The sequence below is a fragment of the Homo sapiens genome, chromosome 4 (assembly GCF_000001405.40).
Source record: "Homo sapiens chromosome 4, GRCh38.p14 Primary Assembly".
Taxonomy (NCBI): Eukaryota; Metazoa; Chordata; class Mammalia; order Primates; family Hominidae; genus Homo; species Homo sapiens.
This window is the reverse complement of record NC_000004.12, coordinates 23,312,914-23,339,277: the sequence shown is the minus strand read 5'-3', so window position 1 is coordinate 23,339,277 and position 26,364 is coordinate 23,312,914. Positions and strand designations below refer to the sequence as shown.

At 35.0% G+C, this 26,364-nt stretch overlaps 2 long non-coding RNA genes across 4 annotated transcripts in view, besides 2 other annotated features; one reads left to right on the top strand and one right to left on the bottom strand.

The window, feature by feature from the left end:
• The window catches only part of LOC105374524 (uncharacterized), a 507,306-nt gene that overhangs the window by 165,560 nt on the left and 315,382 nt on the right, over positions 1–26,364 (bottom strand). The window contains exons 14-16 of the long non-coding RNA XR_007058437.1: positions 8,323–8,398; positions 6,786–6,949; positions 5,752–5,852 (exon numbers count right to left, since the gene is read on the bottom strand). This is a non-coding gene — a long non-coding RNA (uncharacterized LOC105374524). The remainder of the gene's footprint in view (positions 1–5,751; positions 5,853–6,785; positions 6,950–8,322; positions 8,399–26,364) is intronic.
• The window catches only part of LOC105374523 (uncharacterized), a 97,876-nt gene that overhangs the window by 61,131 nt on the left and 10,381 nt on the right, over positions 1–26,364 (top strand). For 2 of the 3 annotated variants that reach the window (XR_925461.2, XR_925460.2), the window contains one exon: positions 9,835–9,902. This is a non-coding gene — a long non-coding RNA (uncharacterized LOC105374523). Of the gene's footprint in view, positions 1–9,834; positions 9,903–11,940; positions 12,014–26,364 lie in introns of those variants that run through there. The other variant, XR_001741614.1, reaches the window with a different exon arrangement.
• Positions 4,743–4,972: an enhancer, noted in NCBI's record as "active region_21367". NCBI's record gives its function as "activates an Ori minimal core promoter by ATAC-STARR-seq in GM12878 lymphoblastoid cells {active_cell/tissue: GM12878}" and the evidence as "EXISTENCE:reporter gene assay evidence [ECO:0000049][PMID:35858748]".
• Positions 5,033–5,082: an enhancer, noted in NCBI's record as "active region_21366". NCBI's record gives its function as "activates an Ori minimal core promoter by ATAC-STARR-seq in GM12878 lymphoblastoid cells {active_cell/tissue: GM12878}" and the evidence as "EXISTENCE:reporter gene assay evidence [ECO:0000049][PMID:35858748]".

Sequence of the window (26,364 nt, the reverse complement as noted above, 5' to 3'; positions counted from 1 at the left end):
TCTGACAATCTCTATTAGTTAATTAATGTAAACCATTGACATGCAAAGAGATTACAAATATAGTAGGCTAATATCTACTGCATTTGTTATTATTCTTTTTGTTACTCTTGTTGTTTCTATTTTGTCTTTCATTTCTTTCTATCCTTTTTGTTTGTAATTAAGCATTTTATGTACTTTCATTTTTCTCTCCTTCTTTAGTACGCCTTTCTTTACTGTTTTTAGTAGTTACCCTAGAGTTTGCAATGTAAGTTTACAGCTAATCAGAGGCCACTTTCAAATGACACTACATTTCTTCATGGATAGTGCAAGTACCTTCTAATAACAAAACCATTCCAATTCTTCCTTTCTGTTCCTTGTATCATTACTGTCATTTATTCCACACATATAAACATGAATATATAATTGAATATATTGTTGCTATTATTTTGAATGATATTATCTATTTAATCAATTAAGAATATAAAATAAAACATTTTAATTTTACATTCACTTATTTTTTCCTTTCATGCTCTTCCTTTCTTTATGTTAATCTAAGTTTCTGACCTACATCAGTTTTCTTCTCTCTAAAAAACTTTTTTAACATTTTTTTTTGCAGAGAAAATTTATTGGCAAAAAATTATTTCCATTTTTGTTTGAGAAAATCTATATTTCTCTTTCACTTTTGAATAATAATTTCACAGGATAAAGAATTCTAGGTTGGCATTTTTTTTCTTCTTAACAACTTTTCCTCACTTTTCACGTTCTGTGTGCATGGTTTCTGAAGAAAAGTTGGTTGGATGAAATTTTTTCTTTGCTCTCCCATAGTTAAGTTTTCTTTCCTTTTCTCTCTAGCTTATTTCAGTTTTTTCTTTATTTTTGATTTTCTGTAGTTTGAAAATCATATGCCTCATGTTAGTTTTCTTGCATTTATGCAGCTTGGCTTCTCTGAGCTTCCTAGATATGAGGCTTCGTGTCTGAGAAAATCCTTAGTCAATATTGTTTTAAATTTTTGTTGTTGTTGTTTCTTTCTCTCTTTTTTCTCCTTTTGGTATTCTCATTAAGCATATGTTACACAGTTGGCAGTTGTCCCACAATTCTTGAATATGTATTCCCTTTTTTTCTTTTTTTTTTTCTTCAGTTTTGGTGGTCTTTGTTGATATATTCTTAAATTCAGAAATTCCTTCCTTAGTCATGTCTATTCTACTAATAAGCCCATCAATGGCATTCTTCAATTCTGTTAATTTTTAATCTCTGGCATTTCCTTTTTGTACTTTCTTAGAACTTCCATCACTCTGCTTATATTGCCCATTTATTCTTGTATGAAGTTTCTGTTATCTATTAGAGCCATTCGCATATTATAGTTGTTTTAAATTCACATCCTGATAATTTCAACTTCCCTGCCATATAAGTCTGGGTGCTAATGCTTTATATCTTGAAATATTTTTTTGACTGTGGGCCATGACATATCGTGCGAAAGGGATGGCTGTAAATAAGTCTTTAGTAATTTGGTGGTAAAGTGCAGGGTGGAGGGAAGCATTCTGTAATCCTATGATTGATTAGGTCTTAGTGTTTCCCTGAACCTGTGCCTTTGGACTGTGATCTTCACATGTGCTTCTCAGCCCCACCTTAGGTGGAACAGTGTTGGCTAGAATAGGCAAGAGTTAGGTATTTTCCTTTCCCCAGGTCAGTTAGGCTCTGAGGAAGCCTCAGCAGGTTAGGCTCTGGTTAAATAGTTTCACTTGAGGGCAACCTTCCTTAGGAAGAACAGAATGCTCGGGCTGATTTAAAATTTTTTTTCTCCCCCTGCTGGAAGCATTAGAGAATTTTTCCTCTGATACTCACCCTGAGAACCTGGTGGAGCATCAGAAGGTAAAACTAACAAAAGTGCATGGGGGCTCCTGAAGGCTGGGTCCCCTATGGTTTTTATCTCTCAGAGTTGTCCTCATGGAGCCTCCAGCTCATGAATTCGCAATTCATTAATTACACTTCAGGTTTTCCTAGCCTGGCACTGGTTCCTGTGAAGTTGTTGCTGGTGGCTTTCTGCTCCAGTAAGTTGTGATTCTCTGTTTTTGCCTCTCAGTTTCTGCAATTTGGGGGACAGTGGTTTGCCTTGGGCAAATTATGCATCAAAGGATCGCATGGACAATTTCTGTTATGGATTTAACAAGAGTTATGAATTTTTTAGTTTTTTCAGCTTTTTATAAGTTGTTAGAATGGAGTTGCAACTTCCAAGCTTCTTCCATGCTGGATTGTTAACTAGAATTCCTGCGCATATCTTAGAATTGACTCTATAGATGGTCAGTTCTTTGAGCACAGATACTGTGTTCTTTATTCCATACATTCTTTTTTTAATGAGATATTCATCAATTACCAGTTAGTTACTTGATATTGTTCTAGGTGCTGATGATACTGTAATAAGCATAATATACATAAAGTCTGTGCCCTTCATGGATGTTATGTTTTAGTAATGCAAACAGGAAAAGTAAACATACAAATCAGAGGAAAAATAACATTATTAATGATAAGTACTTTGAGGAAAATAAACCAGGGCCTTATAATAAAAACTATCTACAATAGAGGGTAGCAACGTTTGATGTGAAGCATAAAAAACAAATGAGAGGTAGCTATAGGAAAACGTGGTTGGAGAAAATCCCACTCTATGCCCTTACTACCTGTGTGACCTTATGCAAGTTACTTATTCTCTCTGAATCTAAGTAAGTTTCAATAGGAAAAAAGTTAAGATTTATAAAGTACAATGCCTAACTCATAAAACACTCAAAACTGTTGCTATATCATTATTACCCCATTGAGACACTTGAATTTTATTTTAATTCCAAAGCAAAATCATTGACATGCTTTCAGCATGGGGGCTCTTGAATCCCTAATGATGCTTAGCATAATGCCTGCTAAGTAATTAGTTTTATAGCATATTATTTTCTTTCTGAAATTTTCTAAGTGATGTTTAGTCAATCAAATTATCTCTACATACTTAGAGATCAGCTACTCCATGTATTACATGGCTACCTGGTCTACAGTTTCTGCTGGAGATAATTCAAAATAATTTTAAGACATAGACCTTGATTTCAAATATATTGTCATTAATTCATGAATAGAGGACTTTTATAAAGTTTATTTTTAGTTCTTTTTATAGAATGTATCTAATTGGCTCCTCTTTCTTGACTAGTGGTGATAATGTTGAAACACTTGAAAAGTGATAATGTTGGTAAAAAATAAATAGTAATAGTCAATCATATGGGATTGATTAAATAAATTATAAGCATGAATACTCCCACCAATAAAAATTGGATTGTATCATAAATCATGATGGGGTAGATATCCAAAAAATAAATTTTAGGAAAATAAAACAGGTTATTAAAATTCTCGAAGAAAATGCTTGAAAATGCCAACAGTGATTAAGTCTGGGTGGTGGGATAAGATGATTATAGATTGGTTAATTTCCCTTGTCTCAGTTTGTTTTGTGCTGCTGTAACAGAATACCTGAGACTAGGTAATTTACAAAGTACAGAAATGTATTTCTCATAGGTCTGGAAGTGGAAAAGTCCAAGATCAAGGTACCAACAGGTTTGGTTTCTGGTGAGGGCCTGGTCTCTGCCTCCAAGATGGCACCTTGAATGCTGTCTCCTTCAGAGGTGGAGCAATGCTGCTTCTCACATTGGTGAAGAGTGGAAGGGAGAGAGCCCACTCTCAAAAACCATTTTATTGTGGCATTAATCAATTCACGCAGGCAAAGCTCGCAAGACCTAAACACCTCCCATTAAGCCCCCTCTCCCAACATTGTGGCCTTAATGATTAGGCTCTCAACACATGAGTTTTGGAGGGGACAAACATTAAAACCATAGCATTCCCTTCTGAATTTTTCTGTACTTTCTAAATATCTCAAGAAAAGTATCCATTAGTTCCGAATCCACTAAAGCCAATTAATTACAAACAAGATTAAAGAAGAAAGGAAATTCACAATCACTACAAAAATAATTAAAAGAAAGTAACAGCAGATTATATAACAGGATATATACTTAGGCTAAAATATGAACCATTATTTCAGTTAAATCTTCATATTTTCTATGGTCTTAGAACAATAGACTTTATTTTGAAGACATATAGGGAATATCCTCTGGTTATTGCCTAACCTTTCTTGACCCAAGATCACCTAGACAGAAAATGATTTGACGACATACTTGTTCCAAAGGCCATGCCTATTTATCTACACTGCACTATGTCTGTATTTATGTCTTCAAAATAGTCTCGAAGATGATGGGAGACATGAGAAGAACTTTCCATTCCCTCTGTTTCATTTTACTCTGCAGTGCCCTTCAATCCCTTCCAACTATACTGAGTCTGTACTTCTGCTACAACTGCTTATGCATAATTGTTCTCACAGACGCTGGGCCCCTTGAAGCTGGAGAAATAGTCTAAATCAGTCTCTGGTATCTCTGAGGCCTAGAGCAGTGCCCAGCCTATCAGTAGCATATAAATGTTTGTAGAATTTATTGAATTGCTGCATTTTCTCCCACATTTCCTCTACGTGTCAGAAGTGTCAGTGTTGCTAAATTCTTCAACTCTGAATTTCAAGAGAACCCCAGAGCCATGTTGCTCATTTCCCAATGGACACCTTTATCTTGTACTAACATTTCAAGAATTGCCTTGCTTTCTGGCTTTTTTTCTTGTTTAGAAAATTCTGGCAATGAGTTACTTTAGAAAGCAGCCCAACCTCTGACAAAGTCTTCTGTTTTCTGACCTGTAACAGAAACTAACTCTCAACAAAAGAGCAATTCTCCACCTGCAGGCCTAAGCACGGAACTTTAATGTAAATGACAATTGCAGGAGCCCTTAGAAAGGAGATGGGGAGGAGGGTGAGGTCATGTGACAAGATTTCTACTCTGTGTCAGCCCTTTTCTTTGGCATTTAGATGAGTTGAATGACAGGTAAAGCTTAGGGCTTAGGCTGCCAGGAACAAAAAAAAAGTGGGTAAATTTAATCATTTGCTCTAGTCTTTAAATATCCTGTACAGCTTTCAGGCACAAAGCAATCTTCCTACAGAGAAACAAACCCAGGATGTGGTTACAACGTACTGTTCTACCTCTTTGTGTTAAAGTGCCTTAATGATCAGGAAAAAAAAAAAAGATTTGCATGAAGGCTTTTTATGGAAAGCACTTAACACAATGGTTACGCAAGACAAACGTCAGCACAAGTGGATATAACTGATATGATGAGTCATCCTATGTGGTTTAAAGCCACCACAAGTGAATGTCTTTTAATTCAGCCTACATAAGCCCAGAACATCTTTTATAGGACTTTGAGGGTATCTATGGCATTGACAAGATACAATTAGCTCCTTGACTGAATCGTAAGATTGAAGGACAGTCTGATTTAAAAATGATTAAGGTGAGTGGCATATGGATGCCAAAGCTTCTTCTGAAATCAGCCTTGGTGATTTGTTTTTCTCTCCAGGTATAATGTCATAACACACACACAGACACACACACACACATACATACACTCAAACGCATAGTGACATCACCTTAAGATCTGAGTAATGTAGGCAGGATAGAAATATAATTGGCCACAATATTGTCTCATGTAAGCACATTAGTGATGCTTACTTAATCTTTTGGCATCCAGTCATTCTCTGGAGTAAGAAGTAAGGCTTTCTGTTTTAATTTCGTGACTCGAATTTGGAAACAATCTTTGCTCTTCGAAGAAAGGTACAATATAAGATTTTATTATTATACTGATTACATATTTGATAATTACCTGGTCTTATTGTCACTAGTATGGCTGTCATTACACATTGATTATAGCATTTCTTTCTGTTGACATCAAACAGGACCTCAGAATTCTTCTCAGCAAAGTGCCTGAAGAAAACACGGTAAATCAACTGGAATGACCATGTGAAATAAAGTCTACCTACTTCTCATTCACAGCACATATCAGACAACCTAATAATCAAGGTTATGATTTTCAGATATCCACTTTATCCAAATGAACATTTGGTAACATTAGGTTCTGCAACAGCAATTAATACAGGGACTCATTTAAAATTGCTGCTACCTTGTCTTTCTGATATTTTAATGGGTTGTCTTCAGTTCATACATTCTTTTTATTTCCCATTTCTTATAGAGCCCAGTTATAAGGCCCATTGTAGTATAATCAATAAAAAACTGTTGACTGATCAATTAATAATGTGATGATTTGTCTAAAAGCTGCATTGGTAGAAAGGAAATAATTTTGTACTAAGAGTGAAAACATTTGAGTTCTATTCTTTATATCTGCAAGTAACCATGGTTGGAAAACGTGTTTCAACTTCTCTAAAACTCAGTTTCCTCATTTCTTAAAATAGGGCAATAAACTGGATATTTTCTAAGGCTTCTCCCATTAGAAAATACAGTAATTATTCTGAGATATGTGCATGAATAGGTATCTCATTTATTTTAAAGTAAATAAGGTACCATAAATATCTATTTTCAAAGATAAAACTCTTCTTTATCTTTCCATTTCCATTCTCCCCATCTCCAACACTTATTTTCTCAATTTACTTGGAGCGTACAATATTTAGGTAGGGTGTGGCTCTGAGAAATAGTAAAAACATCCCCTCCCACACACATCCCGTAAAACACACACATATGCACTCACATTAGTGAGAGGACCAATGAAGGAATTCCCTTGAGTTACTGATTTCTGCAAATTTGACTCAGTTTTATTCACTACCAAAAGGAGCTATTGGAAACCTTGTAATCTCACTGAACTCGCATTCAAGGAAAATCTCTCTATTTCTCAATAGTTCTTACCATTTTTGCATATGCTATTCACTTTGAAAAAACTTTCTCCAGGAAAATTCCTATGACTTCTAGACTGAGCCAAAATGCCAGCTCCTCATTGATGCATATGTAATTCTCCTTGTCAGTGTCAGGTTCTCTGTCTGCAGTGATTTCTTAGCACTTTAATTGTGCCTCTGTGGAAGAAGTTATATATTGTAATTTAAAAATATCTGTTCATGTTTGTTTCTCCCAACTACTTAAAAGCAGTCACATTTTAGGTACATCTAGTTTATCTTAAGGAGCTGTATTAGACTGGCTCCTTTAAAATTCTGGAGTCCACTTAATATCCCATTTCAAGGTAAGCCCCAGAATGCTTTTCAGCAGCATTCTTGACCTCTCTATTACTATGAAAGCTAGACTCTGACACTTTCGCATGTCAAGTCCAGAACTCCCTAGAGAATCTCCCTAAAAGTTTTTAGCCTTTTTCAAAATGAAGCTTACCGGAGAAGAGAGTGAACAAGAAGGCTTTAGGTCTTGTGATATTAATTATTTTTAAAGAAGAATAGATTATCATATTTTAAAACTAAAATCATCATTTTTCTTCATGTTACTTCTTTGATTATCTGCATACATTACTAGAGAACCAGTGGTCTAAATTCTTAGAACCTTGTTCCTGGTCTTTCAGCCCTCACAAAAAAAGGTGACTTACACAAGCACCTGACTGGCATCTGACAATTCCCAAAGGAATTACTTCCAAAGTAAAGCATCTTGCATTAATTTTCTCATCTCTAAATTTACCTCAGACATCTATCCTCATATCAATATGAGTCTGTATGTCTGTGTGTACAGGTTTCATATTTAATAGCACATATGATCACAGATTTAAAGCATCAATTAGCAACTCGCATATAATGGCAAATGCATTTGCCAAATGGATGGAAAATGCTTTTTTTTTCATCTCTTCTTCCTCTAATATCTCTTACTAGACAAATCATCATTACTGGCGAGCTCTGACAACAGACCTTTCTAAGTCCGATTCTGTCATTTGCTTGGTAGACACGTTGACTGCAGCAAACCGTCCCCTATCATCAACTTTTCCAGATGTTTGCACAGCGGGTTTGGTGTTTTTAAACTATCTAAGTTACGGTCCCAAATGACAAATGTTCATTTTCAAAATTAAAGCTTATTACGAATTACCTGCCAAGTACAATGTGTCAGGAGAGACTGAATGAATTAGAAATTTTGCCCATTGAGAATGAATGAATAAGAAAAAACATAAATGAGGCAAGCTATTACACATGCTGGAGGAGCACAGAAAGAATTTTAAATAACAGTAATTTACTAAAAGCTGTTGCATTAATACTTATGCCTTACCTTAAAGAGGCCCATCCTTACCTTTTGATGTAAGTAAGGCTTCAACTTTTTTAAGTGAAAATAATAATGTCTAGGAAAGACAAGGATAATCTCTAAGATGAGACTGTATTTCTCTTTTTAATCATCATCCACAGAGGTTCAGGTTTGCTGTACTGGGAAGAACATGGCCTGATATAGCCATCAAAAGACTAACGTTTTTTTGCTCTTAGTTGTCTTCCAGCTGTGTGATCTGCTGCTGGTTACTAGTCCTTGAACCTCAGTTTCTTCTCCTATAATGTGAGAATAATAAAACCTGAACAAATAGGTTGTGGTGAAACTTAAATCAACATAAGTATTTGAATGTACTTTGTAAACTATGAAGTATCATAAATATATACTGATGTCATAATGATATTAACTACCATATATTAAGTATTTACTTTGTACCAGATACTATGTAAGTCTTCACTTATATTATCTTGTACAATCTTCACAACTATTGAAGGGAGGTAATATTATCTCTATTTTATAGGTGAGGAAACTGAGTCTTATATCGAGGTTGAGTAACTGGCCTAAATAACTGCTAGCTTGGGCTGGATAGGATTGAAAAAAGAATGTCTGATTCCAAAAACATGCTTTTAATCTCTACACTGTGCTACTGTACTTTTAATTTTAAGAGCCTAATGTTCAGTGATGCCAATTTGATGCAAAACATTTTGGAGCTTTCATTTAAAATTGCCTTCAGATACAGATTCATCAAGGCACACAGAGCAAGCAGCCTAATGACTCTTAGACAACTCTTCTTTTTGGCCCCCAAAAGCGTCATTAAGTCTAATCATCCCGCATTCCAGGTAGGAAGGCAATGACTATCCACAGCCAAGAGTTCTCTCTTTTTGAAGGTTCTACAAGATTGACATTTCTTTTTAAGATGGACATGGATCTTTTTTCATTACATCCCCACAGCCTGTGTATAATATTAATTATAATTCCAATCACATGGTATGTTAACCATTTTTTTTACAGATCCAACTTTCAACTAGCAAGAATTTTTAAGTTACTGTACCCCAGAAGCAAGAATAGAAAGTGCGTACTTCTATTTGAAGAAATTTTTAAAAATGTAAATTCTCTTTTTGCTGCCTAGGAAAATTTTTGGTCTCAGCTAGAGAAATACGAAACCAGGATGACCAAGAAGTCAGGGTTTATTTCATAGGGCAAAATAGAAGCATCTCGATTTTCCATCTTTAAAATTATAATCAGCAGCAGGAAGCAAAGCAATATCACAGTCCTGTTATAGGAATCTAATAGCTTTTTATAGAATGCACAGCAGCAAACGTTATCACTATGCTTGAAAAAACCATTTTCATTATCAGTTGCTATTTTTTTCAATTGATTATGACTTTTCCTTTAAGAAATGTGTTTAGGCAAAAATTTCCTATGTTTGATTTAGCCCAAGGAAAAAATTTTTGTGGGAATGGAGAGAGTACTCCAAACTGAATTCATTCTGCCTTTAAGTTATGCAAACGTGGACAAAATATATCACATTCTACTGAAATTGTTTTTTATTTATACTTCTATTGCTTAGAAAGGGTGTATCAATGGAAAATAAAGCTTTACGACTTTACAGGAGCCACTGAATGGGATGAAGGTTAAATTTTTCTTCAGAGTTATGAAGGTTTAAGTGGTAGGAAAAAGGATGCTCTTAAAGTCATGTCTTCTTTTTTCTAAGGTGTTGCATTGGACTGAAGCCTCTTCAGAACACTGAGGATATACCAATTCATTTTAGAAGCCTCCAAGGTGAGCAGTGAAAGCCATCAAAGTTAAAGTTAGCATCATTTAAGACAAAGTGAATTAACAGCACCACTCAGAGTGGAGTGTGAATGTATTTGTATGTCTGGCATAGCCTAAGGTTTATTTATTTATTTATTTATTTTTTACCATGGAGAGAGGTCAAGAGGTCAAGAGGTCAAGGTATTTTAAGATGACCAAATCTCTTTAAGATTCTTCAGGAAAAAAAAAAAAAAAAGCAGTACAGAGATGTGAAATTTGAGGCTACACCCATTATGCTGAACAAAGAGGTAGTACTCCCTGAGAGCAAATACTAAGACTTGTTTGAGCAAAACAAGGGATTTAGAAGTCTAGGACAAAACAGGCTTTCCATTTCATAGAAAAGACAAATAGCTTTAGAACAACATTTTGATTGAGCAGATGTAAGGGACCCCTATATTTAAATTTCAATATATAAATCCCAATAATGGATTTCTCTAAAGCCAAACCCTCTTCAACTTTCGTGGTAATTCTCTTAAGAAAGCATTAAATAAAAGCATTTCACTTCTAGTTGAAAATCAATGGTACTTCAGTGAAGCATGCATCTTCCAAGTATTATGGAGTCAAGAATCATACAGTTCTGCTAGTAAGACATGGGGCCCTGGCTTTGGTGATAATAACTTCGTGCAACAGTGCAACACAGGAGTCTTTGGGAAAAATCATGCAAAATAAAGAATTGAAAATTGAGTGTGAATGTGCTCTAGTTCTCTTTGAAATGCCAACCTGATACATAAAATTATAAATAATGAAAATGGTGTGATAGGAATAGGAATGAGAGTAGTAATAAGTAGAAACAATACTTACTGTCTACTATGGACCAGACACTAAATACATGATATGCATCATCTCATTTGATTCTCTTAAGAATCCTGTAACTTGGTATTATTACCTACATTTCTGGAGTAGGTCTGAAGAAGGAACAACTACGTGTGGAGACATTCAATAAATTTAAGATGGGTTAAAATATTTTATTATACACTAATGTATGGCCATTTCAACAATCAATCAAAAGATATTATAAATTCTATCTACTTGGAAAGTTCTTTCTCCCTTTGCATAGTGATAAAATTGTATTCATTTTTCACTCTGATAATGATAAGGATGAATAAGATATAGCTCCCGCCCTCCAGGAACTCACAGTCTGAAAAGGGAGATGAAGCATGTATTAAAAAGCCAAATATAATTCATGGTAGTTTGTGGTAAACTCTGTAATACAGGTATATTTAAAGCTATGGGTAGGCAGAAGAAAGAAAATAATTCTCAGAGCTAGGGTAGAGTTGGAGGAGGAAAGGATTAGGGACATCTCCTTAGAGGAGTTCAGCTGGGTTCTAAAGATGGGCAGAGTTGAAACAGACAGTGTTATGAGGCTCAGGGAAATTTTTGATGTGCAATGCCTTTGAATCTAGGGTATATTCAGAATGTCAATGTTGCTGAAATTTTTGACATATGATTGAGCATAATATGGGTAAGGACTAGATTGTAGAAGACCTACACTACTACTCTAAGCAGTTTAAACTTCATTTGGCATTCAGGGGCAAGTTTTGGACTGGAAGTATAATATGATCAGAGCTGTACTTTGAGAATATTATTCTAGTAATGCATTAAACTCATTTCTCTAATTTTTTACTGAATAATTATTGTCCTGTGACTGTACGGCAGGACTTATGCTAGGCAATGGGGATATAATGGTGAATATGACTCACTCTCTGCTTGCATGGAAATTACAATCAAGAAAATTAAACATAAAATAGAACACTGTCATCAACATCATAATAGAGAAAGTACAGGGTAGCATGTAGAAGTGCCTTCTCTAGTATTGGGATAATCAAAGAAACTTCCTGTAGAAATTGATTTCAAGTTCTGTGTACGGCATGTACATATATACACAGGTGTAGGCTTATTGAATAAGAGGGTCAATCTATGAAAAGGTTCAGAGGGGAAAGTGTGCTTCAGGAACTTGATGCAGAGTTATTTGCTTTCCAACCACATAGATCCTTAACAACCTCAGGTATGTGCACAGGGTTCCTGGTCATTTCATCTTGGACTGGACAGGCAGGATTCACCATCTGTCAGCTGCCAGGAGAACCAAGTAAGTATTATGCACAAGGACCTTATGAAAGCAAATTCTGTTGAATTGAATTGGCTTTCTTCATAGATCTAGAAATCATCTGGTTTAAGATTCCTTTTCAATGCCAAATATGAATAATTCAGTCAAGCCTGAAATAAACACCGTGATCAAGTGTGGCTTTTATTGTCCAATTTATTCACTCACTTATTCAGTATTTGTTGTTTGTCAGCACCATATAACCCACTATACTAGGTACTTGCCTTATCTAATCTTTTAGTCATAATTAATCATTATTTTATCTAAACATTTACCTCATTTTTCCTAGAACACTTTTCATAATTTGGGTCTATCACTGTAAGTTGTATATAACTGTGTCCTCAAGTAGATTGTGGCATTTGAAAAAAAATGTGTTCTCATCTTGTGTTCCATTCAAGCAATGTCAAGAATACAATAGAGGTTCTATAAATGGTGGGTGGATGGATGGATGGATGGATGGATGAACAGATGGATGGACAGATGGAGACAGACATGAATAAGAATTTGTTTCTGTCTTCAGAATCTTATAGTCTAATAATGCAGATCAAGGACAAGCATGCAGTTAATGAGAAATATTTTCCACTATTAAAACCATCATGTTCTCTCTTTTCAGTTTATGTTTAATGTTCTAGAGCCACAATCTTATCATGATCCTAAAGATATCATGAAGGAGCCTCAGAATGTATTGAGAGTTTGAAATAGGAAAATTTTTTATAATAGCTGAAGTTTGACTTTTAAATTTCTGAAAATACTAATTACTGAGCTTTATCTTTAAACTCAAAATAAAAGCAGCCCCGAATACCTCATTTAACCATTTTAATATGTTGTTATTTTACTTCTGGTGAGATGCAATGGAAGTAGATAAGAACAGAATAGGCATTCTAGAGAATGTCTGCAGTCATCATTAATCCAACAACAAAACAGAAGTATGTCTTTGCCTTTACATGTAATGGGATTGACATCATTTCCTACGTTTCTATTCAGTAGTCTCATTTGATTGACATTTCCCCAGGAGTGTTACCATGTTTTCTTCTTTCCATTCAGTAGTTCAGCACATCTTTATTGACTGTTGCATGCCATGACCTTTGATCTGGCCAACCAGATGAAAGAGATTTCAAATTTTCAACGGCATTGTCTACATGGACTCTTGTTTCTCCATGACTTATTTTGAGAAAAATAAGTGAGACTTTTCTTTCTTTTGTATACATTGGAGATGCATATCTTTGCATTTCATTGGAGCAAAGTGATTCAGTAATACAAAAGGTAGTTTTTCTGTTAAACTCAGGGGATTGTAATCATTTAACATACTCTAGAAGTTAAGGAAATGCATGATTTAACATGGAGATGAAAGAGATAGGAATTATAGTCAGAAAAACGATTTTCTTAATCTTAGTGGGTTTCCAATTCCTCTTCTGTAAAACGGTAACAATAGTACAACTTTTAAATATTGTTATAATGTTATATGAGAATTTTAAAAGATAATAGGTGTTAAAAATGCCAGGCATTACTCTCATATGTGATAGGCTGTCATTTATTTGTTGATTACTGTGTGGAGATGATGTACTAAGCACTCTACCTGCATTTCCTCATTTGCTATTTCCCCCAAACTATGAGGCAGATTCTGTTTTTATCATTATTTTAAATGAGGAGACTAACACACAAGAAAGGTAAAACATATAATTTGGCACTGATCCTAGAATGAATACAGAGAAGACCAGTATTTGAGCCCACAGGTTGATGGGGTGTGGTTCAAAGACAATGTTGAAACTTCTAGGTATTTTTTTGTTGTTGTTGTTTTTGATTTTTTTTCCTGCCAAATTAAGAAAAAAAAAATCTGGATTTAGTAAGGAGAGGCTTTATTTGAAAAGGGAAGAAGTGGAAGAGAAAATGGACTATTGCAGTGAGAATCATGCTCTGACCATAAGATCAGCAATGTCTCAGAGGTTAGGAAAACAGGAGTTCCTCCTTTATTAAGGGGAGGGAAAGAGGCTACAAAGAGCTGATGTGAAATGTAAGGGTTGTGCAGTCCCATAGTAGACCACAGGACATTTTTACTCTGAGGCCAGCCTCTTCTCAGGAAAGGCTTTTAAGCAGGGGTTTATAACAGCTCAGGCTAAGGTTTGCTAAAAATTCAGGACCTGGGAGGAGAAGAGAAAATTCACCAGAGTTTGATTAGCAAACATTTGGTTCCAAATAATCACAGGGATAAGCAGTTAAGATAATTCTTTATGAGTCATAGAATTGGAATTTCGAGTTTGGGTCTAACCTTTTCCTAGGTAAACAAGGGGTAATTCATGCATGTTATCTAACATATATGAAAAAGAGTCATTGTTTGTGTCCCAGGACACAAAAGGATGAGGGGATTTCTTAATCTTCACTGTTTTCCAGAATCACAGGGTCCAGGAAAGGGTCAATATTGTCACTTCTCTCTGGCTAGACATGCTGAAAATGAGAAACCATGTCTTCGGAAACCATGTGATGAGGGTAGCGGAGTCTCTGGGTGGCATTGTGACCTCCCTGCCCTAAGGTGTTAATTAAGTCAGTTAGTTTTCGGAATCCTTTGCTGCAGTAGCTTCCCCAGCATCCTGAAGAGCAGTGAAGTGCTCAGTTTTACAACTCATGCCCATTGTGATTTAAGCCAAGTGATTTCATCTCATAAAACTTGGTTTCCTTATCTGCTAAATGATGGAGATGGACTTGGCAAAGACTTACAGTCTCCCAGCTCTGATCTTCAGAAAGGCACAAAGATATGCCCAAGTGCCCTGTGGTTTGAGGTGTGGAATTAGAGGCTGAATCATGCATTAGTCTTCTTCCTAATACTCAGGCAACATCAGTACAGGAAGTCATTTAAGAATGCTCTGGTAGTGGATGTCACTGACTGTAAATAGCTTTTTCATCAGCAATTCAGAATAATGTTATCAAGGTTGCTTTTGTCTTCCATTCTGGCAATCAGTCATTTATCATTCCTAAACCTCTAGTACCCCCTTTGCATTACCTTGCATAAATTGGGTGATTTCTCAATTTCCTCTTTTTCAGCCTTTCTGATTTTCTTTCCATAGCGTCTCTGAAATTTTTTCTGTGTCATGCAAACTCCGTTTGGGTGTTTTATGTCTCTGCAAAGGCCAGAGCTGGTTTTCTACTTAATATTCAATAAGCATGTTTGAAGATCACCTCTTTCAGGAAAAGCCCATGAAACTCACCACTGCTCAGCTGATGATGACTTACTTAAGATTCTTGTTGCCCTGCATTTGGATTCTTGATGTAAGCTAGCTGAAGCAGGACTCTGTGGGCCTTATTATCACACAGTGCCTTAAGCATAGCATTGTGATAGATGTAAAAATTACCCACTTTCCAAACCTTTAGGGATACTTAGAAAAAATGTATACTGTTACTAATAAATGTGTGTTGTATTATAAATATGGTGACAGCTGAAAGTGGGCTTTCCAATGAAATTAAGATATATTGGAATTTAAAATTAGTGGTACACTTAAACTTTACTATATTTTTTGTTCAAATTGGAAAGCATTGAGTGCGAATGTGGTGGACAAATGGGTCAGAGGGTAGATGTGGCAGAACAGCTGTCTTCAAGCATTTAAATAGAGCACAGTGGATGAGACCTAAATCCAAAGACCTGTTGGTGACTCACTGCCTGTGGGACCTGGAAGGAGGCACTTCATCTCTCTAAGGCTTAGTTTTCTCAACTATAAGAAAATAATAATTTTAGAAAATAATAATAACAACAATAATTACCATAAAGAATTATAGAAGGAAATAAATAACATCATGTGTGTAAAATATCTTTAGCTCTGTTGGCATATGGTAGACATTCATTAATGTTGGGGTTGTTGTTAAGACTTTGTCATTAATTAACATTGACTTACCCTACTGTGCTTAGAAAAATTCACCAGTCCGAATGGTAGGCTATAAACCTAGGAGCTAGAGAATAGAATCTCTGGGCTCTAAATGTGGACCATTATGTGGACTTATAAAGGAACCAATGTCCATGGAAAGAGAAAAATAACCAAAATCTGAGGAGTAACATTGACACTTTCCATGTTAGGCTGGTTAAACTTGTCCCTCAACTCCTCATCACAGTCAGTATCAATCTTTTCTTTCTTTAATTTTTCTTTCTTTAATACCTGTTCTACTCATATTGCTGAATTCTTATCTGTCCTATTTCCTCTTATTATGATTTACTAGACTTTCTGAAGGCTGTTACATTTGGGTCATGTTCTCAGATGTAAATTCTCCTCATTTATCTTGCTAGAGTTCTGTCAGGAGACAACAACTAGACAAATACACACAGAGAAATCAAAGTCCAAAAGAAAAAAAAGAGAGAGAGTCTGACTTTTGTTGGTTGATTAGATCAAAGATGATGATTTACATGGTTTGGAGTTATAAAGAGTATATATTTATTGGATAATTAAAATCTCTCCCACTTATTTTGAGCTAATAAATCCAGCCCTTCAAACTCAATGCTGTCAAATACTGGAATTAAGTAATCAAAGGAAAAAAACAATAATCTGAGAAAAAATAATTTATTAAACAAAGTAAAAACTTTGTCTTTAGGAAGTTTATAAGTAGATTTGGCTGACCATTGCAATTTGGGAACTTTTTGAATGTTGAGGGTAGTAATGAGACAGAAATTAATCAGTTGGGGCTGGTTTTAAGAAATGGCTTCAGACCCTAAGTGGTTTGCCAAGTTTCCCTTAAACACCTCACATTATTGAGGATACAAGTCAAAATCACTTATCAGCAGTTCTTCCAAATAGCCAGGAACATGTATTAAAGAGGCCATGAAGGAATTTCTAATGAGAAAAAATGTTCTTACTTTTTGAGAAATTAACTGCTTCAATAAATTGCAACGATAAAGTAGGAAAAGTTATCACAATAATGTCTGTTGTAATAAAACTAAACTGTACAGCTGATAACAGTTAAAATGCCAGAAGGTGAGTTAATGACATACTATTCTCCTAAAAGCCCCTTTGGTCCTTATTCTGAAATAGAATTCTGAGACCCACTTATAAGGAATATGGTGGAAGCTACATGGAAATACTGTATATTCATATGTTCTACAGATTCACTGCCTGTGAACTTTTGAATATATGTAAGGTTTATAAGGAGAGTATATTAAATGAAAGTTTTGGGAAGGTGAAATCAAATAACCCTAGTAGCTAAAATTGATTCTTGAAGTATATACAAGATGGAAGTCTGTGGTTAGAGAAATAAGTCTGAATTTCTTACTTGGAAAATTTATATCAAAGATCATGGGAACAGGGGCAACGACAGGGCCATTTAATCCTCCCTAACACTTTCTGTGGATTCATGAATGTAGGAGAGGCCCAAAGCTTCTGCTATGATTTTCTTCAGTCAAATTCCTAAGCAAGCTAAAGATTATAGCAATGCAGAGGAATTCATAAGGATAATGAGAGGGGGAAAAAAGAAAACAAATGGAAATAGCGCAAGCAGACATTGGAAAGTAATTTGAAGTAGGAGAGTTTGGAGCTAATAGTTTTACTTTGCATTATTGAATTTCTCCCATACATAGTAATGACAGTGTCCATGAATGGTGAAAATGTGTGTGTAGTATGTGTGTGTGTCTGTGGTGTGTAGGAAGGAAACGTACAGAGAGAGAGAAGGAGAAAAAGAGAAAAATAGGGAGGGAGAGAGAGAGAGAGGAGGAGAGAGAGACAGAGAGAAAGAAAAGCAAGGGAAAGACTAAAGTTGAGAAAGCATTAGAAAGCCCAAGATAACATGTGCACACGTGCTCAGATACTAGGGCTGAAATTCTCAGGGCCAGCTTCTTGCTTTATGGTGAAAGCCAAATCAGCTAGAGTATTTTTCAAACAAACAGCAGAAGGAAAATAAACAGAGCTGTCTCCTGTTACCATGAGTTCAAAGGGAGCCAAGCTAGTGCCCCATACACATAAACCACATTCTGACTAATTAGGTGAAAACAACAGCAAAAAATATAGTAGAACAATTATCTGAGAAATATAGAAAATTGAAATATGCCAAATCTCCATTAAAAAAAAAGAGACATGAAGAAATAGCATCAACCATAACAGAAACAAACCTCTCTGCTCTGAGCCATCTGTGCCCCCTATCAGCTGGTAATAATGTGACTCTGAGTAGCAATAGAAATCATCAAAGGAAGAGCTTTAAGAAGGCATGGCAGCACTAATAGATTTTTTTCTGGGTTTCTGGTCTTTGTTTATGGATAATTATAATTTGGCAATGTGTTCAGAGGCCCATCATATGAATGTCTCCCTTGTGTTTTATTTAAGCAACAGCTCACAGAGGACTCACTTCTGTTTCCCACCATGCCAAGTAAATTCTTGTAGAAGGAGAAAACTTCCAATGATGTGTGAATTTAAAATTATGAGTTGATTTAATGAATTACAGCAACTAGATTCCTAGATAAGTGTATTTAACGTGTTTACCTGTCCAGTGAAGACATATTTGGTTATCTTATTTGAAGCAAATTTTTCCTTCAAATGATGGCAATTTCATCCAGTCTATTTTAGGGCTTGCTTTTATATATTCCCAACACATCTCTCTCTACCATTATATTTGTTGAAATCTCAAAGAAATGGAAAGTGAATAATCTGCCTGTAATGTACATAAGAATATCTTATTTTGAGAATGAGAAAGTATTTTTATGGACAGGATATGAGAAATAATAAGCCAGTTAAGCTCATTTATATTGTCAGATTTACCTTCAAATACAGGTTGCCCTTTTGTTAGAAATGAATTCTCAGAATATCAATGATCAATTAGGATTTGTTGGTTGCATGTAACAGGAACAAATTCTGATTCATTTGCGTAAAAACAGAAATGTATTAGGAAGAAGACAGAATAGCTCAAAGATTCAAAGGAAGAGTTTAACAAACACATATTAGCAAAGGCACATAAGGCAATTCCAAGAATCTAGGCAGCAAGCATCAAAGGGCAGTTTCTTCAAAATGTTACCTGTAGATGAGTGAAATTTAGTTTTTTTTTTTGTTTTTTTTTTTTTTTTTTTTTGAGAGGCAGTCAGGCTGGAGTGCAGTGGCACGATCTCAGCTCACTTCAAGCTCACTCCACCTTCCAGGTTCATGTCATTCTCCTGCTTCAGCCTCCCGGGTAGCTGGGACTACAGGCGCCCACCACCATGCCTGGCTAATTTTTTGTATTTTTAGTAGAAACGGGGTTTCACCTTGTTAGCCCGGATGGTCTCGATCTACTGACCTCGTGATCTGACCGCCTCAGCCTCCCAAAGTGCTGGGATTACAGCCATGCCTGGCTGGCCATTTTTAAACTCTGTGTAGCTCAATTCAATATTAAAATTTCTGGAAGAAAACTTAGTCATGGCCTAGCTTGAACTTTTACATATCCTTTACCAAAGGGAGGGCAGAGACACATGATTGGGTAGTTTAACAAGACTAAAACCAATGAGGAAAATTGATCTTCTGTTACCAGAAAAAAAAAAAAAAGGGAATAGATGCTGGGGAGACAAAAAGCAATTCTATAATTAAGCTCTTTCAGGATGAGAAATTAGTATACAAAGTATGGTGAAAAACTCAACATGATGAATAGTTCAGGGATATTTTATGCTTTTTAAAACTTAATTTATAACTGCCCCATTAAAATAATGAAGAAAGTTAAGTAGATTCATATTGAGTAAACATTTATTAGAAATATATATAAACTACTGTAAGACAAAGTTTCACATATCTCATTAAATTATCATGTAAAATTCCTGTTAGAATTGATATTTCCATTGTGTCCTTATAGAAACTGGGGATCGGAAAGTTATATTGAACTGCTCATTGTCACTCCATAATCAAGTGTGTAAAGGGTCTTATAATACAGCTCTACTGAATTAAATCTTAGTCCACTTTTGGTTATATTTCTATTTTTTGCACAGAAGGATTTCATTGAATGAACAGTTACAAAGCACTAACGTGGTATCACTAAAGTAAAGAAATAAGACCTAGGTAATGATGCAAACACACACACACACACACACACACACACACACACACACTAGTTTTTAGGTAGCCATCAGCACTGAGTCTCTATCTACAAATACAGAACCTCATAAACAACATGATGAGCTTAGCTATACACAGCAGATGGAACACACACTTACCACAACTCCTTCCAAAAATCTCACTAAAATGAGAACAGGAAAATGAAATAAAAGGACCAGGGGAACTATTGGTAAACCAGAGAGGACAACAACATTTTGGAGCACAGAAAGCAGAAGAGAAGTTAGCAAGACAGAAAATAGAATATTAATATATTTTCTGAATCTGTGATGTCATTTATTATAAGATGCACCATTTGTTTGTTTCATTAAGGAAGAAAAATCACTGCCAATTATAACTGTTAAATTTATAGTGATAAATGTTCAGTTATCTATTGCTGCATAATAAGCCACACCAAATTTTGTAGCTTAAATCAACAATGTTTTCATTACTATAATTCACGGTTTTGGGAGCTGACTGGGTTGGCTGGCTCAGGGTTTCTCATGAAGTTGTCATGAGATGCAGGCTAGGGATGGGGTCATCTCGAAGTCTTCACTATCACGGATGGTGATTAATGCTAGCTGTCATCTAGGACTTCAGCTGGGCTTATTGGTCAGGACACATACATGTGGCCTCTACATGTAGCCCTGGCCTCTTTACAACATGGTAGCTGAGTTGCGAGATCAAAGATCCCAAGTGAGACAGCTAAGCAGAAGCTATATCTCTCTTTATAATCTATTTCAAGTCACATAGCCTCACTTGCACCTTACACTGCCAGTTGAGGCAGTCACAAAAGTTCAACCAGTTTCAGTGAGAAAAGATGTACATTCCATGTCTTGTTGGCAAGGTAATAAAAACATAGGTCATAATAAACATAGGTCATAAACAAGGTCGTAATAAAACATGGCAAAGTCATAATAAAAACAATACATGTGAGATAGAAGATACTTTTACAATCATCTTAGGAAAATACAAGCTGCCATATTGCCAATAACTGTAATACAGTTCCCCATGTTCAAAAATGTTAAGATATGAAAAAAATTATCTAATAATTAATGAATGTAGTAATTACCTATACTTAAGGAAGTATCAAATGAGAAGCAAGGCAAGCCCATCTTGCAGAATCTTAGCTCAGGCATTTGAGGCATCAGCTACCTCAGAAGTTCCTATAAGGCTTGGAATTGGTTGAAAGTTTGAAGAAGTAGTTAGATTCATGAAACTCTCTCTTTATCCTCTGTATCTGTGTAGCTATCCCTCTCACTCATAGTGGGAGAAAGCTTGCTATGTAGAGAAATTAATGTCAAGATTCTCCAAGATAAGCAGCACAATAATGATAATAGAGATATTAACAAATCTCTGCACATTAAATAATGAGACCCTCATCCTTCTTCTTAGCTCCCAGAATTTTGTTAATTTTGTTATGGAGTTTTATGCTTTATTCTTTCCACTGCATTGTCATTTATAGATAGTGGATTGGAAGATTCTTCTCTGGAAATACAAGGATGATAACGAAGCACATAATGGGCCTAGAAAGTGCACAGAAAGATATGCAGATAAGAATATTTGAGTTCACTGGGGCAAAGAGTGTTTAGTTCCTGTCTCAATCACGCAACAGTGATACCTTGCTCACCTAGAGCTTCTAATCATCTCGTTAGTGCTTTCACTTGAAATTAGAGTGGGTACTCAGGAATCAACAGGCATATATGGGAAATGTCACCATGGAAGAAGGAGATTGAAACAAATAATGGAGGGAGCTTGCCGTGAACAGGGACAGAGAGCAGGAAAAATCTCAACACGAAACAGACAAATCACACTGAATTTTTAATGTTGGAAAGATAAGAGAAGATACAACATTCCTAAAATAAGAGCAAGGTAATATACAAAGGAAATAATTAGAGAACAATATATATATCTTGAAAAGACAGCATCAATTAAAAATTCAACAGAAATATCAAAGAAAGTAGAATCAAAAGGCCAATATTTTTAAAAGTAGAAAAAAGGGCATATTTCTTAAATAATAAATGACAATCTGGAGGTCCATCATCTGGCTAACATAAATTCAAGAAAAAAAAAGAAGAGAAAGAAATTTTAAAGGGGGAATTATCAGAGAAATAGTGCATGGAAATTTCTCAGAATTGAAGACCCATTGGTGTTCAGAACAATTTAAAAGAAGGGAAAAAGGACCCATACTAAGTCCTATCATCATAAAATGCCTGAAACTAGAATAAATTAAAATTGAAATATTCCCATGGAGACAATAACATGTCACACATAAAGGAAGGAGAAGTAGAATGGAAATTGACATCTTAAGCAAAACTAAAAACTACATAAGAATAGAGTAATTCCTTTTAAATTCTGAAAAAATATTCCAACATGGGATTTTATTTTTTTATTTTTTATTTTTTTGAGATGGAGTTTTGCTCTTGTCACCCAGGCTGGAATACAGTGGCGCAATCTCAGCTCACTGCAACCTCCACCTCCCGGGTTCAAGTGATTCTCCTGCCTCAGCCTCCTGAGTAGCTGGGATTACAGGCACCCACGACCACGTCAGGCTAATTTTTTGCATTTTTAGTAAAGACGGAGTTTCATCATGTTGGTCAGGCTGCAAACATAGGATTTTACATCTAGTCAAACTATCAAATATGAGAGTAGAATAAATATATTTTCAGACACGTTAACTTTCAAACCACAGCGGACCCTTGAACAACACAGGGGTTAAAGGTGCTGAACCCTGTGCAGCCAAAAATCTACGTATAACTTTTCACTCCCCAAAACTTCACTATGAATAGCCTACTGTTGGCCTCACTGGTAACATAAACAATCAATTAACACATATGTTGTATGGTATATGCGTTATATACTGTGTTTGTATAATAAAGTAAGCTAGAAAAAAGAAAATGTTAATAAGAAAATCATAAAGAAGAGAAAATCTATTTATTATCCATTAAGTTGAAGGGGATCATCATGAAAATCTTCATTCTCATCATCTTCACATGAGTACACTGAAGAAAAGGAGGACAAAGAGAAGGAGTTGGTCTTGCTGCCTCAGGGGTGGTAGAGGTGGAAAAAAATTCACTTATAAGTGAATCCACAGAATTCAAACGCGTGTTGTTCAAGAGTCAACTATACTTACTGCTAAGGCACCTTTTCTTAGGCGACTATTCTAGCATCTCAAAATGTGTTCCATCAAAACAAGAAGATAATCAAGAAAGAAGACCAAGAATCCAGAAAGAATGGGTTTGTCTTGAAGAAGGGAGAAAAGAAAAGAGAAATCCCAGCATGAGAGCAGCATACCTGGCCTGACATACAAACTGTTGAAACTGGAGTAGCAAAAAACTGGAGTTGAAACTGGAGCAGTACCTCCAGCGGGAATAAATAAGTAGATGATCTAATGTGTTTGGCCCTCTAAGAAAGAGGACTCAAAAGTCATTTGATAATTTTTGAAAAATTTAAGAAAAATTAATAATAGGGACATAAAAAGTTATGGAAAAATTAATTTTAAAAATCATTTAAACCTTAAAACAAAATATTACACAAGAAAGGTAACTGGAACATAGTGCTTGACTTGGATGACGAGCAAATAATAATTACTTAGCATCTATAAGGCAAACATTAAAATTTGCTTTCTGAACTATTTTGATACAACTTTATTGGGTGAATGAAATAATGCAAAGTAGATGGTGAAGATATTTGGGTGTTAAGTCTTCATTATAGAAGACAATGAAGAATATTTAAAACTAATAAACCAAGAAATAGATTAATTTGTTACTGGAATTAAGAAAGCAGAGGAAAAAGAAGAGGGTTGCTGTTGTTTGCATTTAAGTCTTATTCATTATTACTATTTATTTTATTTTATTTTTTACAGTTTCCTTTTCCTTCAACTTTTATTTTAAGTCCCAGGGTACATGTGCAGGATTTGCTGGTTTGTTACATACGAAACATGTATCATGGTGGTTTGCTGCACAGATCATCCCATCACCCAGGTATTAAGCCCAGCATCCATTAGCTATTCTTCCTGATGCTCTCCTTCCCTGCACCTCACAGGCCTCAATGTGTGTTGTTCCCCTCAATGTGTCCATGTGTTCTCATCTTTCAGCTCCCACTTATAAGTGAGAACATATGGTGTTTGCTTTTCTGTTCCTGCATTAGTTTGCTGAGAATAATTGCTTCCAGCTCCATCCATGTTCCTGCATTATTTTGCTGAAAATAATGGCTTCCAGCTCCATCCATATCCCTGCAAAGGACATGATCTCATTCCTTTTTATGGTTGTATAGTATTCCATGGGGTATATGTACTACATTTTTTTAATCCAGTCTATCTTGGCATTATGTAGATAAAATTAATAATCTTTATAAATATAAGGAAAAATAAGTCTTTCAATTTAAAGAAATAGTGTCTAAATCCCCACTCTTCTACTTATAACCTATGTACTCACAGACAAGGTATTTTCTTTCTATAGTCTCAGTTTGGGGTATTTAAAATGAAGAAAATAATAGCAGTTACCATGTATAGCATTTATAACTTGCTACACTAAACACTTAAATACATTATTTAGCTTAATCATCACAAAACTTCCATAACTTTTCCTGTTCTTTTTATTCCCATCTTATAAATGAGAAAAACATGTTATCACAAAAAGGTTGGATAATTTGTCCAAGTTCATGTAACAGGTAAGTGATGAAAATGGAATTTGAACTCAGGCAGCAAAATGGAAGAAATATGTCCAATCCTTGCTATTGCAAAGTTAATATGAATTTAAATAAGAGCACTTATTAGTGTATCATTACAAACAGTAAATGTTCAATAAACACTTGCAAATGAGTGAGAATGTTCATGTAACAACTTCATTATGTGCATAAAACACATATAATATACACATTATAATGCTGATGTCTTGAACCCACACAGTTGTTAACGAGGCATTGCCAGGACTTTAGTGTATGATTTTGAAACATATTGAAATCTATAGGCACACAATCACCAAGATCTCTACAATTTAATAGATCCTACAATAATGACAGTTTTCTGTATTAACTTATTCTGTGGCCTAATTTTTAAGAGTTTACAGATTGTGAGGGCTATTTTTCATCCTGAAAGTCTGGGCAGGTCAAGAAATTTCTACTGTTACGTAACAGCCAGAAATTATGTTTTTTTATATACGTGCTTCAAGAAGGAAACACCTTTGTCAGTTCTTCTCATCTTTTTACTGGATCAATTTCCCTATTGATTATGCTAATATGCATCACATCAGACATGCCACCTAGAAGCTGGAATGTCTAGAATTGAAAGTCTGTGAGAGGGTATGAATGGATTTCTTATCACCCTGTTTAGGTCGTCCTTTTTACAATATTTTCATCAGTCTTTGAAGGAGAGTCTTATCAAAACCAGTTCAGATTTTATTTCAGTCAATAGTTAATTACCATATATCCATAAAAGTTCTGCTATTAGATTTTTAAAATCCTAAATGCCTCAAAGATCTTAAAGAATGGCAAAAAAAACTTCAAGGTTTTTAAAGATGAAAAGCCAATAAGAAATATTTTTTTTAGCCACACATAGTCTTAGAGCTCAAGATAATTGGCTTTTTAAAAAAGATTTAAAAAGAAATACTGAAAGGAGTTTGATCACTGGCAAGACAGATTTGTTTAATGGGCCAGCCAGATTCAGAAAATTAAGTTGAAACAAAGAACTCTTAATTCTAAATTCAGTGTTTTTTCAACTATATCATATTGTCTGCTATTAAAAATAACTCAGCGAACATAATGAATTGTAGCATCAAATTAGAGTAAAGATTATGAAATTTGAATATTGATAAATAGTACTATCACTGGTTGCTCATATATGTAACCATGATACCTTGTTCAGAAATCCCAGAAGCTTAAAACAGAAATCTAACTTTTAGCAAGGTTTCCATTATCAGACATGCAAACCAATTTCTCATTGCTGTTCACAAGTTACCAAACTCTAAAAGTTGATTTTGTTTTCATCTGAGCTTAGAAGAGTTTGATTTTAACAAAGAAAACAGACCTAAGAAAATAAGCTTGATTTTAACAGGACAGATATTAGGGAAGCTTACTTCATTTTTTTTTTAATGGGAGTATCCACACTACCAGAAGTTTCTTTTGAACGGATCTTGGCATTGTTTATATGATGCACATTTTAATGCATACTGATTTTTACTTCTTTCAGGCCAAAAAACAAATAATTCTGTAATTTCAGCATAATACATTAGGTATACTGAACTTGAAGTAGTTTTTGGTTTATTTCTTGCTGGTTGTAAATGGCTGCTGTATTCTATTTTTATAAAAATGATTTATT